This window comes from Homo sapiens, chromosome 1 (genome assembly GCF_000001405.40).
Source record: "Homo sapiens chromosome 1, GRCh38.p14 Primary Assembly".
Lineage (NCBI taxonomy): Eukaryota > Metazoa > Chordata > Mammalia > Primates > Hominidae > Homo > Homo sapiens.
The window spans coordinates 210,300,087-210,314,557 of record NC_000001.11 but is presented as its reverse complement, the minus strand read 5'-3'; the positions used below and the strand labels follow the sequence as shown (position 1 = coordinate 210,314,557).

Below are 14,471 nucleotides of genomic sequence, written 5' to 3'. Positions count from 1 at the left end.
TGGTGCAATCTCAGTTCACTGCAACCTCCACCTCCCGGGTTCAAGTGATTCTCATGCCTCGGCCTCCCAAGTAGCCAGGATTACAGGTATCTCCTACCATGCCCGGCTAATTTTTGTATTTTTAGTAGAAATGGGGTTTCACTATGCTGGCCAGGTTGGTCTCCAACTCCTGACTTCAAATGATCCACCTACCTCGGCCTCCCAAAGTGCTGGGATTACAGGTGTATTTGGGAATGTTAACTGAGGTTTTTTTCCCTTGTGCTTCTTTATAACCATTACTCTTTTCTTTATCATTCTGTCATATTCCATACACATTGTTCTCAGACAGAAAGTAGATAAAGCTGAGAAGAAAAAATCTGTTGAATGTCTGAATGGATTTATTTTAAACCCATAGTAGAGACAACAGCTTGAGAGGCAGGACTTTCTTTGATTCTGAAAGCTGTGCATTTTGAGAAAGAGCAAAACAAGTGTGTAGCTGCTTCCTAAGTTTTGGTATGGAGCCCAGAGCCCACCCTCTGAACCAAGTAAACCCACTATCAAGGCAATATTTTTTAAACTGTGGGCTGAGACCTCTTGCATCATAAAATTGGTTTATCGGGATAAAACCAGCATTAAAAGAAAGAGAATACAATGGACTAGGAAATCCCAGAGTTTGTTGCCAGGTAATGGCAATGTTGTTTGGTGAAGTTGTTGTTTCATGTGTGATGTGTACGTGTGCTCAGCCGTGATGTAAAATGCATTTTCTATTATAGTCATAGTCAAAGAAATTCGTACATCACCAGAGACTCTCCATAGCAGAGGACACATGTGTCTCTCCTCTCAGAATGTACCAGGGAGAATCATAGTTCCTGGGAGAATTTCCACAACCAGAATGGCATCAGAAGAACAGAGCAACCATGATCCAGGGTGGCCACACAGAAACCCCTTGCATCTTGGCGAGGCTGGGGAAAAATCTGAAAAGTTTCTATGGCCACCAAAAGGGACGCAGAAGAGGCCCTGGACAAGCCAAAAGGATCCAAAGGAGCTGCAGTCTGGACTATAAGGATGTAGGCAAAGGGAGGTGACAGTGGAAACTTGGCCATCAGAAACTAGTGCTGGCTCAGGACAATGAGACCAAGTTGCAAGAGTTACCAATCAGTGGAAACTGTTGTAGACAGAATGTCATGATGGGCCAGACGCTGCTTTTCTCCCCACACCAACATGATGCATGAACCCTGCCCCACAGACACATGCCCCCTGCAGCTGCAGAGACTGAAAAAATGTCGGGGAATAAGGGGAGGGAACTTCTGATTCGCTATTCAAAGACTATGTTTCAATTCTGTTTTAAAACAGAATGGGGCTGGGTGTGGTGGCTCACACCTTTAACCCCAGCACTTTGGGAGGCTGAGGTGAGTGGATTGCTAGAGTCCAGGACTTCAAGACCAGCCTGGGCAACATGCCGAAACCCTGTCTCTACTAAAAATACAAAAATTTAGCCAGGTTTTGTGGTGTGCGCCTGTAGTCTCAGCTACTCGGGAGGCTTAGGAGGGATAATTGTTTGAGCCCAGGAGGCAGAGGTTACAGTGAGCTGAGATCAAGCCACTGTACTCTAGCATGGGTGACAGAGCAAGAGCCTGTCTCAAAAAAAAAAAAAAATCAGAATGGGTCTGATGGTACATTTCAAAAACAAGTTAGATGAAAATAAAAATTTAAAATCAAAATAAAAACAGAATGGGCACCAGGTGCGGTGGCTCACACCTGCAGTCCCCAGCACTTGGGAGGCTGAGGTGGGAGGATTGCTTGAGCCGAGGAGTTTGAGAGCAGTCTGGGAAACAAAGGGAGACTCCTGTCTCTACAAAAAAAATTTAAAAATTATCCAAGTGTGGTGGCATACATCTGTAATCCCAACTACTCGGGAGGCTGAGGCAGGAGGATCCTTTGTGCCCAGGAGGCTACAGTGAGCTATGATCGTGCCACTGCACTCCCGCCTGGGTGACAGAGCAAGATTCCATCTCTGTAAAACAAAAGATAAAAAACAGAAAGGGCTGGATTTATCTTGAATTAGAAAGACCACAGACATTGGAGGTTGAGTTAATGATTTGAGGTCAGTTCTAGGAAAATTAAGTTACATCTTCGAACACCAGGAGCTGTGACTGTATAAAATATCAAAACTGACATGTTATTATTAATGAAGCCTTTGGATTTGGCAACTAGAAAGTCGTGAGCAACCTCCAAAAGTGCAATTTCCGTCATGGTTAGGACAGAAGCCAGATGGGAATGGGGTCAGAACAGAGTGGTCAGAATAAACTGCTCTTTGGAGACACCCGTGAGGAGTGTGGGTGTGGGTGAGTATGGATCGCAGGCTTGAGGGAAAGTTCCGTTTATTTTAAATGGAGAAACCTAATAATTTATAGGCAGACGTTGTAGGCAGATGAGAAAGGCTTACACAGAACTGTCCGTGGGTAAAGGAAGGAGCCAGTGGACATCGGATACATTACTACTCGGATGAAAACTGGTCAAATCCTCAAAGGCAAGGTGCTCGCGGGATGGTAGCAGTCACGGTGGTACTGCAGGGTGGTGTATGGAATGAGAAGAAAGGTGTGTGTCTGATCGTGCTGGTCTTTGACTTCCATCTCTTTCTTGGGCTCAGCACCCCGGGACCTGTGAAGGTTGAAGACCCCGTGGAAAGGTTCCAGAGTCCTTAGGAGCTCCTAGGAGCCTCGTTCAATGTTATGGCTCTTCATTTAAACCCCATTGCCCAGTGGCTGTTGAGTTCTGCCTGCCCCTGTTCTCTGATCACTGCTTGGCTGACCCTTTTCTGTTCTGATCACAACAGTTTATCGTTCTCAAGGGACAATTCTGTAAAGGAACTCGAATGGAGGGTTCAAAACTGAGGCAAGGCATGTTTATGAAACAAGTCTCTCAAAGCCTGACGTTTCCCACGGAACAAGGGCTGTCTGTCCCACCCTGGCACTCATTCCTATCCCCCCGCCCCCGCCCTCCGTGTCAAAGGCTTCTCGGAGAAGGAGACCATGACATCACTTCCTTCGGGTGGTGCAGGGTCGTCTGGCCTCACGCCCACTGCCTTTGGCCGCTGACCCCCGAGGAAGTGAGGCAGCGGCCGGAGCCGGGCACGCCCTGAGCTCGCTCTCCTGTTTTCCCTCTGGCTCACCTCTGGGGGCGGTCCCAGATGCCTTGAGAAGTGGGTTGTCTTCAAAGTATCTCAGTGCCTCCCAGTGCCCTCTGATATTTCCTTTAGAAGTCATGGGGAACTGCAGGGGTGAAGAGACACCACTAGGTGGCTGCACAAGACCTTGTTTGTTTCCATAGGTGCCAGGCTGGCGGCAAAGAGAGATGAGACCCCCCGCCCCCCGCCACTGTGTGTGTGTGTGTGTGTGTGTGTGTGTGTGTGTGTGTGTTCGTGCGCGCGCACGTGGCGGGGGGGGGGGGGGGGGGGGAGGTGCCCAGTGGGGAGAATGGGGAGGCAGAGACAGAAGTTTAAGAAAACCCAATGTTAAAAAAGCCTAAATTTACAAAGCAGGTAAGTTGAAGGGCTATCCTTAATGCCCACAGTGGAAGGAGTGCAGAGCTCCTCCTTATAGGAGAATTCTCTTGATATTTTTAGTCCTTTTTAGTTCATCAGTTATTTAGCAGAGAAACTGAAGTGTTAGCCTACTAACGTTTCTGGCTACTGAAAATGAATCAGAAATGAGAAGGTTGCATGAGATCTGAATTCTTCTAAGAATCAGATTTCTTTGCATCTGATTTGCATTCATTTTCATTCATAATCAGAAATTTGACGAGTTCCTACTACCTGCCACACCCTGGGCTAGGTGCTGAGGAGAGAGCTGTGAACAACACTCTGTACCCTCATGGAACCTAAGTAGAAAAATGCATATACACTGTACATAGAAAAAAAAGGGTACAGTTTCTCCAGCTCTGTCATTCTACGATTCCATGACTATACCCTTCCTTTGCACAGCCCTCACATGAAGCATGGGATAGTAAGACTCAGTTAATCCACCAAAATTAGATGCCACACAGATTTTCTGGAGTAGAGTTGCAGTGTGATTTCCAGCATGTGGTCATTTTACCATCAAAAGTTCCATAAGAAGTGATGCCATGGAATTTCCAAGTCTCTCTTCTTTATCTGTTTATTACCTACTTAGGTCATCTGCCAGTGCCAGGACAATCATCTGAGACAGGGGCCGCTCCTGCGGCAGAAAAAGCGGTGGGCAGGCTGAAGACCACAGGCTGAAATACGCAATTGGAAAATAAGAAAGAAAAGTGATCACAAGTCCTGGACACCAAGAAGATTGTGGAAAAACTCATAATATAAAGGTGTGGCATTTCTAAGCACTGCCAAATTTATTTCTCCAGCCAAGTCAAACATGACACAATGGAAGCCAGCTCCCAGATGCCCCACATGAGAAAGCATAGATTATAGATTCAGTGTGGAAATCACATTTGGGTTTGGGAGGTGGCTGGCTTGATCTGCAAGAGGGTGGGGTATGACTTGCACCCATGTGTGCACATAAGCACATGTGAGAACTAGGAGAATGGGTGTTCATGTGGAATCATGGAACACCAGAGCTGGAACATACTTTCAAACTAATTTAATCCATCCTCTCATTTTATAAATGCAGAAACCAGGCCTGCAAAGGAGAAGGTCTTGCCCAGTATCCCAGAGTCACCATTGACAGAACTAAGACTATATAACTCAATATCTTGATCCCCAGTTCATAATTCCAGTCATTTTATCTCTTCTTAAAGGATCATAGACATGTTTGTTGCCTTTTTCACTTGGATTTACTTGACTTACCTTTACATGTTATGGTGGTTGAATGGTGCCACCATCCCTTTCCCAAAAAAGATACAGAATCTGTGAATATGTCCTTACTTTTAAATTTATTTTTAAATGTTATTTATTTACTTATTTGTTTGAGACAGGGTCTCACTCTATCACCCAGGCTGGAGTGCAGTGGCACAATCATGGCTCACTGCAGCCTCAACCTCCTAGGCTCAGGTGATTCTCCCACCACAGCCTCCTGGGTAGCTGGGACTATAGGTGCACGCCACCACACCTGGCTAATTTTTTGTATTTTTTGTAGAGATGGGGTTTCACCATGTTGCCCAGGCTGGTCTCGAATCCCCTTATTTTTAAAAAGGATCTCTGCAGAGGTAATTAATTAAGGATATTGAGATGAGATTATGTTTTATTAGGATCAGCCTATATCCAATGGCAAGTGTCTTGAGAAGAGAAGAAGAGGAGTGAAAAGGAGAGGAAAGGAAAGGAGAGGAAGGGAGGGGAGAAGAGGAGAGGGGAGGGAAAGGGAGGGGAGAAGAGGGGAGGAAGAAGACACATGGAGAAGAAGACAATGTGAAGACAGAGATTGGGGTGATATATCTACAAACCAAGGAACCCCAAGGATTTCCTGCAGCCACTAGAAGCCAGGAGAGAAGCACGGAACAGCTTTCCCCTCAGTGCCTCCAGAAAGAACAAACTCTGCTAGCACCTTGATTTTGGACGTGTGACTCCAGAACTGTGAGAGAATAAATTTCTGTTGTTTTAAGCTACCAAGTTTTTGGTACTTTGTTACTGCAGCTGTAGGAAACCAATACATTTATATGTCTCAGTTCCTTCAACTGCCTTTGTTCTATTCTTTTGTTACCTTGAAGACGGAAGCATTCTTTGAGCATAGTAGCACATCATGGTTATGAGATGCTGTTGCTATTGGCAGGCGAAAGATTGCTTAGAGATGGTCCTCTTGGAAAAATCTAAACATGTTGTACTCTAAGTGCCACTAACTAAAACCAGCCTTGAGAAGTTCTCAAGACGGGCCTTCCAAATGCCCTAAAGCTGTCTTCATATGACCAAAAGGAGAGCCAATGGGAAAAGAACACAACAGTTTTTCCCCATCCTAGATGTTGAGTGTGGTCATGACTGGCTTTTATTAGAATCGTGTTCTCTCTGGTAATATGAGAGGCTGTTATCAGTATGATTATTTATTTATCATCTAGGTTTTTTTGGTTTTTTGTTTGTTTGTTTGTTTTTTGAGACAAGGTCTCGTTCTGTTGCCCAGGCTGGATTATAGTGGCGCAATCTCGGCTAGCAGAAGCCTTGACCTCTTGGGCTCAAGTAATTCATCCACCTTAGCCTCCTGAGTAGCTGATACTACAGGTGCATGCCATACCTGGCTAATTTTATCATTTTTATAGAGACAGGGTTTGTCCCCAGGTTGCCCAGGCTAGTCTCAAACTCCGGGGTTCAAGCAATCCACCCACCTTGGCCTCCCAAAGTGCTGGGATTACAGGCATTAGCCACCATGCCCAGCCCACCTAGGTCTTTAAATGACTTTGGATGGTGCAGGGGAGTGGGGAGTCACACCTTAAATGAATTTAAAATAGAATTGGAATTATAAGTAATATTATAAGGCAAATCTGTTGCATAATGCATTGTCTTCAAGCATATTTTTCCTTTTCATGTGGTTGTTGGCAAATATCTGCAATGGGAAAGAGGATCATCCTTTTGGGAGACTTTCTTTTGTGTTTCTCAATGTTGCAGAAATAAACACACAACTTTAATTCGTTCCCCAAAGGAAGAAATAATAAAAACAACCTACTCAAAACTAGTCAGAGTTGCTGGAAAAATCAGGAAATAGCTTTTGTGGTTTGTTTGTTTGTTTTTCTCCATAATTTTCCAGGAAATCTATTAAAGACAGTAGCTGCCCTTTGGATAACACATTCATTCCAAGGGCCAAAGATATTGGTGCATATGCTGAAGCTGTCTCATGTCCTGAGCAAATCTCTCCATCTAAGCTCATGGCACCCCAGGGCTGGGCTCAGAGCCACGGCATAAAGAAGTCAATGGTGTCAACCTAAGGAAAACAAGGCAGCTGATATCAAACTTGTTTAGAATAATGTCATCTGATGAATTAATTCCACTTTAAGCCCAAATTGAGATTTAAACATGTCAGAGAATGGACCTAAACTGGTGGGTGGACAAGAATAGTCAGTTTGTAGGTTTGCTATATGGAGTAGAAACAGAAGGGAGGAGGTTTAGTGGCCATCGGGTTGGAGGTAAAAATGAAAGGCCAAAGTGGGATTTGTTCCATACCTGGCACCTCAGTTTGATGTCTGAGCCTGGTAGAAAAGGGGCTGTGAGCTAAAGCTATACTATTGGTCTTTGTGAGGGACTCAGTGAGGCCTGAGGCAAGAGTATCATTCTTACTTTCCTGAGGGACCCGCATGACACAGGTTGCCAGACAGATGGGCCAGGACATAGTGCTGTTCTGGCCCTCATGGATTAGAAACTTTGGCCTCTGGATTTAGTTGGCTTGGATGTTGAAATTCTGATTGTGGTGGCCAGAAGCTAGGGCAATGGAGAGTCATCTCAAGAGGTTTTGTGGACAGCAAACTTGGATGGGGCTGAGGCCAAAGAAGAGGGACGAGCCTAGAGGAATCTGTGCGTTGACTATAATAACATGGTCACCATTCATAAGGACATGTGAGACATCCTCAATGAAGTCTGGATAGAACTTTGTTGAAACAAATAGAAGGTCCTAGTTGAGCATGCGGTAAGAAGAGTCAATAAAACTTGGGTTATTACTATTTTTTTTAATTTTGTATTTTTTGTAGAGATGAGGTTTTGCCATGTTACCCAGGCTGGTCTCAAACTCCTAGACTCAAGAGATTCACCCATTTCAGCCTCCCAAAGTGCTGGGATTACAGGTGTCCACCACAGTGCCTGGCATGGGTTACTACTACTAAGGTGACCCACTTCGGTACCCAAGAAACACTAAGGTTGAAATTACACCTCATCTAATAGGCCATGTTTTCAAACTGTGCTTCATAGTAGTCTAGGTATACTGAGGAGACCCTTGAGACTGGAGGAGTGGCTCACAGCAGGATCTGGGCCTTCTACCACCGACTCAACATCAGCCACTATTTCACCTATTTTACCTACAGTAAGAGGAGTTTTGTAACTAACAAAAAGGTCTTCATAGCTTAATGGAGAGGTCTCAAACACCTCTGCTTTAGGGCTCCCTTGACTAAGCCTGGCAACATGTACTGAGTAGATTTTCAGTGAATTACATATTTATTTGTATATACAATCTAGCCAAAAGATGATTTGAAGCAGTAATAAGTTTGTACTAATGGATGAGGCCAGAGTAAGTGATTTATTTCTAAAACCCATTGAAAATAACAAAACAATTAAAATATTAAATGTTTGGGAATACTGTTTTATTCCTTTTGGACACACCAGAAATGAACGAACACAAATCTTAATGTGGGACATTTATAGTGATTCTATCTATTGGAAATAAGAAAAATAGTAGTAAACGATCATATGTACCTCTGTTTTAAGTATATTTCCAAGTTACTATCTGTGAGCTTGTTCAGTAGTTGTTATCTAATTTTCCATAGCAAGAAAAAAATGGCCAACTCATAAGTTGTGTTTCTGTATGCATTTAGATTAACAGATTATTATTGGTTTTTTAAAAAGGGAGGTTTTGGCCAGGCGCGGTGGCTCACGCCTGTAATCCCAGCACTATGGGAGGCTGAGGCGGATGGATCACATGAGGCCAGGAGTTTGCCTGGCCAACATGGTGAAATCCCGCTACTAAAAGTACAAAAATTAGCTGGACGTGGTGGCGCACGTCTATAATCCCAGCTACTCTGGAGGCTGAGGCAGGAGAATCGCTTGAACCTGGGAGGCAGAGGTTTCAGTGAGCCAAAATTATGCCACTGCACTCCAGCCTGGGCAACAGAGCAAGACTCCATCTCAAAAAAAAAAAAAAAAGAAAGAAAAAGAAAAAAAAAATAATAAGGGATGTTTTTAAAAATTAAGGTTCCATTAATAAATAAAAATTGTCTGAATGCAGCTAACAGTTTTGAATGCCACTAGCCTTCATAACATACAGATCAATAAGGATTTTCTTCTAGGCAGAAGTCCCAACGAAAATAGCATGTGTGTGTGTGTGTCTGTGTCTGTGTCTGTCTTCCTGTGTGTTTTTATTTTATGATAAAAAGGTTTAAAACTAAATAAATGATCATGTCAAACTTTTTTTTAAGTGTGCACAGTTTTCAACAAAAGAGCCAAAGAAATTTTGGAAAGATTTATGTATTCATCTTGGTCTTTACAAGTTGTAACTGTTCCTAGAGAGTGGCCTAGCAGCCAGGGTCGCCTGTGTGCAGGCTTCACCTATTATGTCAGTGCCCAGCAGGCAGGCACGTGAGGCTGAGACCAGCTCACATCTTCTCTGCTGAGCAGCCCGCCCAGGCCCTGGGCTGCATCTGTCTCTAATGTGCCCACAGGCACAAGTGACCTGTAAAAGCAGGAGACTCAAGTCTGTGAACTGGAAGATAAATGTATGCTTTCAGAATATTTCTAGACTTCTGACCTGCATCTTTTAACCAATGTTTTTTTGATTTCTTATCAAAATTAAAGCTGTGGGCCGGGCGCGGTGGCTCACACCTATAATCCCAGCACTTTGGGAGGCTGAGGTGGGTGGATCACTTGAGGTCAGGAGTTTGAGACCAGTCTGGCCAACACAGTGAAACCCCATCTCTACTAAAAATACAAAAATTAGTCAGGCGTGGTGGCGCATGGCTGTAGTCCCAGCTACTTGAGAGGCCAAGGTAGGCGGAGGTTGCAGTGAGCTGAGAGATTGTGCCACTGCATTCCAGCCTGGGCAACAGAGCAAGACTCCGTCTCAAAAAAAAAAAAAAATCAAACCTGTAGCATTTTAAACCAGATTGCAATAAAATAAGCAAGAAAAGTGTCAAACCTAGTAAGCATAATGCTGAAATCTCACATAATTCTTAAATCTCAGAGATGTTCAATTTATTATATATTTAACCACTTTTTATCAAAATGTATCACAGAATGCCACTGTGCCACCGTGATTCAGTGTGAAAGCCACATCTGCCCATCCACTGCAATGGTCCAGCCTGCAGTCTGTTTTCCGTACCAGTAAGCAAAAGTAGCAAAACTGCCACTGGCTCAACTTTTCCCAAGTAATAAATTCACTTTGCTTAGTCTTCAGAATGTTTAGCTCCTCTTGCTAATCTATCAGCTTCTTCATTGCCAATACACCCTGGATGACCAGGAACAAGTATCCACTGAATGTCCATGCCTTGACTGAGCTTCTCCAGTGCCACAAAGTCCTTTTTGTTCATCACCTATTTCCCTGTACTTGTCTTCCACCTGTTCTTCTTCCTACCTTGAACCCAGTTAGTTATACCATTTATAGCAAACATACTATCTGTGTACAGAACCAATTTATTGATGTTTTCAGCCTTTGCTTGTTCAATGGTGTTGCAGGCTGCATGATTTTCTGCTCTTTGGTTTGTCTGTCACCCAGGAAGTCTAATGCCTACATTTAAAGGATGGCCTGGCCCCCAGTAAACGTCAGTTCCCACTAGTGCTCTCCTCCACCCATTACTGGAGCAGTAGCCATCAGTGTAGACGACGACAAAGCCTCCGATGTAAGAAAATGTCTCTGCTCACTCGAGGTGCCGGCTCTATGATTTGCTTCACAGGCTTTGCACAAGACTCTGCACTTTCATCTCCATCTCCATTCAGTGGCTCACAGAGTCCCTTGCTGGCTTTCATTTGTGATTCTTGTACATGTTTATTTTTCTGCCCTTCTGAACCTTCTGGGCTTGCAGATTTCCTGACAAAGGCCCAGGCCTCATTTTCTGTGGCAAACTTCTTAAATCTGGCAGCAGGAAATAGGTCCACCTATGCTCTATATTCATTCCAGGTCAGAAAGACCCCAGTCCTGCAGGCCCTCCCCACAGCATAGACCATCCTGAGGCTGCAGCAGTCCCTGTGGCAGCGCACAGCTATCAAGGTGACTCTGTGGGCCAGGGACAGAAGCTGGCACATGGCTCACTCTCACCTCACATCAGTGTGACCCCAACAGTGCCCACTGAAAATAGCTTCAGTAAAAGTACACTCTGAGGCCGGACACGGTGGCTCATGCCTGTAATTCCAGCACTTTAGCGGGTGGAGGCGGGTGGGTCGCCTGAGTCCAGGAGTTCGGGACCAGCCTGGGGAACATAGCAAAACCCCATCTCTACTAAAAAGATTACAAAAAATTAGCTGAGCATGGTGGCCTGCACCTGTGGAGGCTGAGGTGGGAGAATCACCTGAGCCCGGGAGGTCCAGGCTGCAGTGAGCCCAGATTGTGCCACTGCACTCCAGCCTGGGTGACAGGAGTGAGAGCCTATCTTAAAAAAAAAAAGTACACTCTTAGGCATAACTAAAGACTTGGCTAATTATTTTTCTCTATGGTCAGTTGGACCATTTGCAAGAACCAACCCATTTGCGTAGCTGTGTCTGATAAGACCGGCCTGCTCCAGGGCAGAACATTCTTTTGAGGACCAAAGCTAGCCAGATCAATGCATTTGAAAAAGGCCTTGTCATAAATCTATCAAATCTCCTATTCCTTGAGCTAGGCTGTGGAGAAAAAACAAAACATGTGATCTTCTAGAATGTTCTTGAGAACTTTACTTTGAAAGGTAGATAACATTCTCTGAAAGCCTCTGCACTTGATAAGATTATTTCGTTCAGCACAGATCATAGCTATAAGGAGCTATTCCAAAAGGGGTTAGCATTACCTAGAATTCCAGATTGAAGCCAATTGCACTACAGGCTGGGGGGAGGGGATATCATGAATCAGAACATACGGACCAGACACAGCCCTTCCCTGAGCAGCCATAGACAAGTCCAAGGGACGTGGCATAACTGCCGCCTGTTTCCAAGCAGGCAAAGTTGTCCAGAAGAGTCTGATCAGAAGGGGCCAAATGGGAATCCAGTTTCATGAGTTCTTGGCAGCAACGGTGCTCGCCATTAGGGGTAGACTGAAATGCTAACGGGAACCAGCCAGCTCCATGTGAGGCGTGAGACCGGGATTAGGCCCAAGTCCTGGGAAACTGAGCTGGCAGCAAACAGCTAGGCGGCTGGAACACAGGCTAGGTCTACCTCGGATGCCAAAGACCAGGACAGAAGGGACCTAGCAGAGATCCTGGCTACTTGTGTACCTGGCAGCCAGCTTTGAGGCCATGTTCTTAGTGCTCTAGCTGCAGATAAAAAGCAGCAGCAGAGGGTCTTCATTTCCCATTCTTGATGGGAGAGAAATGCAACCTCTAGCTTGGGCTTCCAAAGCCCATTCTAAGCTCTAGCCAGGACAGGGAGGAACAGGGCTGGGGATCATTGCACGGCAAAAGGTGATGGTAGACCTAGGAAATCTTGAGTTTTAGAGTGGCCAACTTGGGCAGGGATACTCACAGATTAGGTATACTTCTTGGTAGACCACCACCAAAGCCCCTGATTCCACATCGATATCTTGAAAATGTGCTTTTACTGAGAAACCAAGATCAACTTTTCTCTGGCTGAATGGATGTAAGTTAATTCTACATTCAACATAGATTTTAAAAAACCACACACATCCTCAGAAGAATGTTTAAGTCCTTTGGAGAAGCATGAGGAGGTAGCTTTCCCATTTTCCCCCATAAGCGGACCACATCTTTGCTTTTGTGCATTTTCTTCAGATGCTGGGAACCAGGCCCAAAAACTGTTGAAAAGGGGTTTTCTAATGTAAAACAAATTCAGGTTCACATTTAGAGAATACTAAATGCAAGTGTGCAAGATCACGTCACCGCTTCGCTCTTACTTTGTATCAGTCCAAAAAGCAAATATCCAGAAGCTGCTTCCAAGTCCTGACTCTACACGCAAGTTGTTGTCTGGAACCAGTTTCCACCATGCCACATAACCTCCTGGATGATTAGCAAAAATCGCTTTCCACTTACTACTTGCAGCTGTTTGGAATTCCACATTGCTGCTCTGCTGAGTAGCAGAGCCTAACTGGGCGAGCTGTACAGTAAACACATGAATCTCTGCCAGCGTTGGCATCTAACAGCACCATGATTTGCAAACATGTTGAATTGCTATTTTATTCAATAAACGAACTTACAATAGAAAATAGATTTGGAAGTTACATCAAACTTGTTTATCCTGTTACAGTGGGCTGGGTAAAGCTATTGTGCTTTGGTTATAAAGAAATCCCTGTCGGGAAGCAGCAGGCGGAGTCTCTGCTATTCTTTCCTAGGCTAATATTAAGCACTCGGAGTATACCTAGGTCACACTGACTCACTCTACATGGAGGGACACCCCCTCCTTTTAAGATCTCTTTTCCCCAGCACTAACTCCATAGTTTGGGTCAATGAATACTAATTATGCTGTCTCTTAGTCTCAGTGTTATTCACCAAATGCTACTTTTCCCTATGTGTTCCCAGAAAAAATATATTAATATATAATATTTGGTGGAAATGTATGTGTATATATGTGCACATATGTACATGTGTAAATGTATATATGTATGTGTCTATGCGTGCATGTGTGTGTGTAAATTTCCTCATGTCAGGGCTGTGCCTTCATCAGCTGAGAGCTCTCCAAGGGCAGCAGGCTGGGTCTCCTCTGTCAGTATCAGATGGTCCTGAAATGATTCTCACCCCTACCCCTATCCCCATCAGTCAAGAGACACCCTCTATCCTAGGACTGGGAGTTCCTTGACCCTTGTGGGGAGCAGAAGGGGCAGTACCTTCTGCATGTGACTGAATGAAGGGAAGGCAGTAAGCTCACAGCAGAACAACACAGGATGAGGAAGAAAACTCTCAAAGATTTGCCCAGATAATAACAGCACTTACTTTGCCAGCTTCTTCCATCTGAGCAAATGGGTGTGGTCATTATAAGAAGGCGACTATTTCCCCCAAGTAAATAGGGTATGCTATTTGGTGAAAACGGAAATTGTAGGAGAAAGTGTCTCATTTCTGCAGTTTGAAAGCAGCTAATCTCTGTAGTCTGGGTGTCTATTTACACTGCTTTTCAGCAATAAAGGGTAACATTACCTTAATAACCTGCTCATCTGAGGCAGGGAGGATACTTAAGGCATCAGAGAGAGAGGCATTTACTCTGATGAGCCACTTTCCCCAAACAGCACAAAATCGACAGCATTCGCCCAGGAGATTTTTTTTTTCTGGATTTCTAAAAATATTTCCTGGTTATGGCATGTGATCTAAGACACAGGCACCCTCGGCTCACTCTTCTGCAGCACCTCAACTTCCCCACTGCCATCCCTGCCAGACAGGGAGGAAAGGAGAAAATCAGTCGAGCACTGGACTTTGAAAGAAGAAAGTTTTGCCAGTTAAAACCTCAACTAAGGCCAGGCATGGTGGCTCACGCCCATACTCCCAGCACTCTGGGGGGCCAAGGCAAGTGGATCACTTGAGCCCCGGAGTTCAAGACTAGCCTGGCCAACATGGTAAAACCCCATCTCTACCAAAAATACAAAAAGTAGCCAGGTGTAATGGCATGTTTCTGTGGTCCCAGCTACTCAGGAGGCTGAGGTGGGAGGATCGCTTGAGCCCTGGAGGTGCAGGCTGCGGTGAGCCAAGATCACGCCACTGCACTCCAGCCTGGGTGA

At 44.8% G+C, this 14,471-nt stretch overlaps 1 long non-coding RNA gene and 1 pseudogene across 1 annotated transcript, besides 3 other annotated features; both read right to left on the bottom strand.

The window, feature by feature from the left end:
- Positions 2,278 to 3,477: an enhancer, noted in NCBI's record as "P300/CBP strongly-dependent group 1 enhancer chr1:210484426-210485625 (GRCh37/hg19 assembly coordinates)". NCBI's record gives its function as "activates an origin of replication core promoter dependent on BRD2, BRD4, P300/CBP, MED14 and CDK7 cofactors, with strong dependence on P300/CBP, by STARR-seq in HCT116 cells {active_cell/tissue: HCT116}" and the evidence as "EXISTENCE:reporter gene assay evidence [ECO:0000049][PMID:35650434]".
- On the bottom strand, positions 2,344 to 3,337 carry LOC124904502 (uncharacterized). Its single transcript, XR_007066865.1, has 2 exons — positions 3,152 to 3,337; positions 2,344 to 2,640 (listed from the first exon to the last, which is right to left on the bottom strand). It is a non-coding gene; the product is annotated as an uncharacterized LOC124904502 (long non-coding RNA).
- Positions 3,189 to 3,248: a silencer, noted in NCBI's record as "silent region_1778". NCBI's record gives its function as "represses an Ori minimal core promoter by ATAC-STARR-seq in GM12878 lymphoblastoid cells {active_cell/tissue: GM12878}" and the evidence as "EXISTENCE:reporter gene assay evidence [ECO:0000049][PMID:35858748]".
- Positions 9,740 to 10,882, bottom strand: RNASEH1P3 (ribonuclease H1 pseudogene 3; annotated as a pseudogene).
- Positions 13,476 to 14,310: an enhancer, noted in NCBI's record as "H3K27ac-H3K4me1 hESC enhancer chr1:210473593-210474427 (GRCh37/hg19 assembly coordinates)". NCBI's record gives its function as "activates a minimal SCP1, AML or CMV promoter by ChIP-STARR-seq in naive H9 embryonic stem cells {active_cell/tissue: H9 hESC(naive)}" and the evidence as "EXISTENCE:reporter gene assay evidence [ECO:0000049][PMID:30033119]".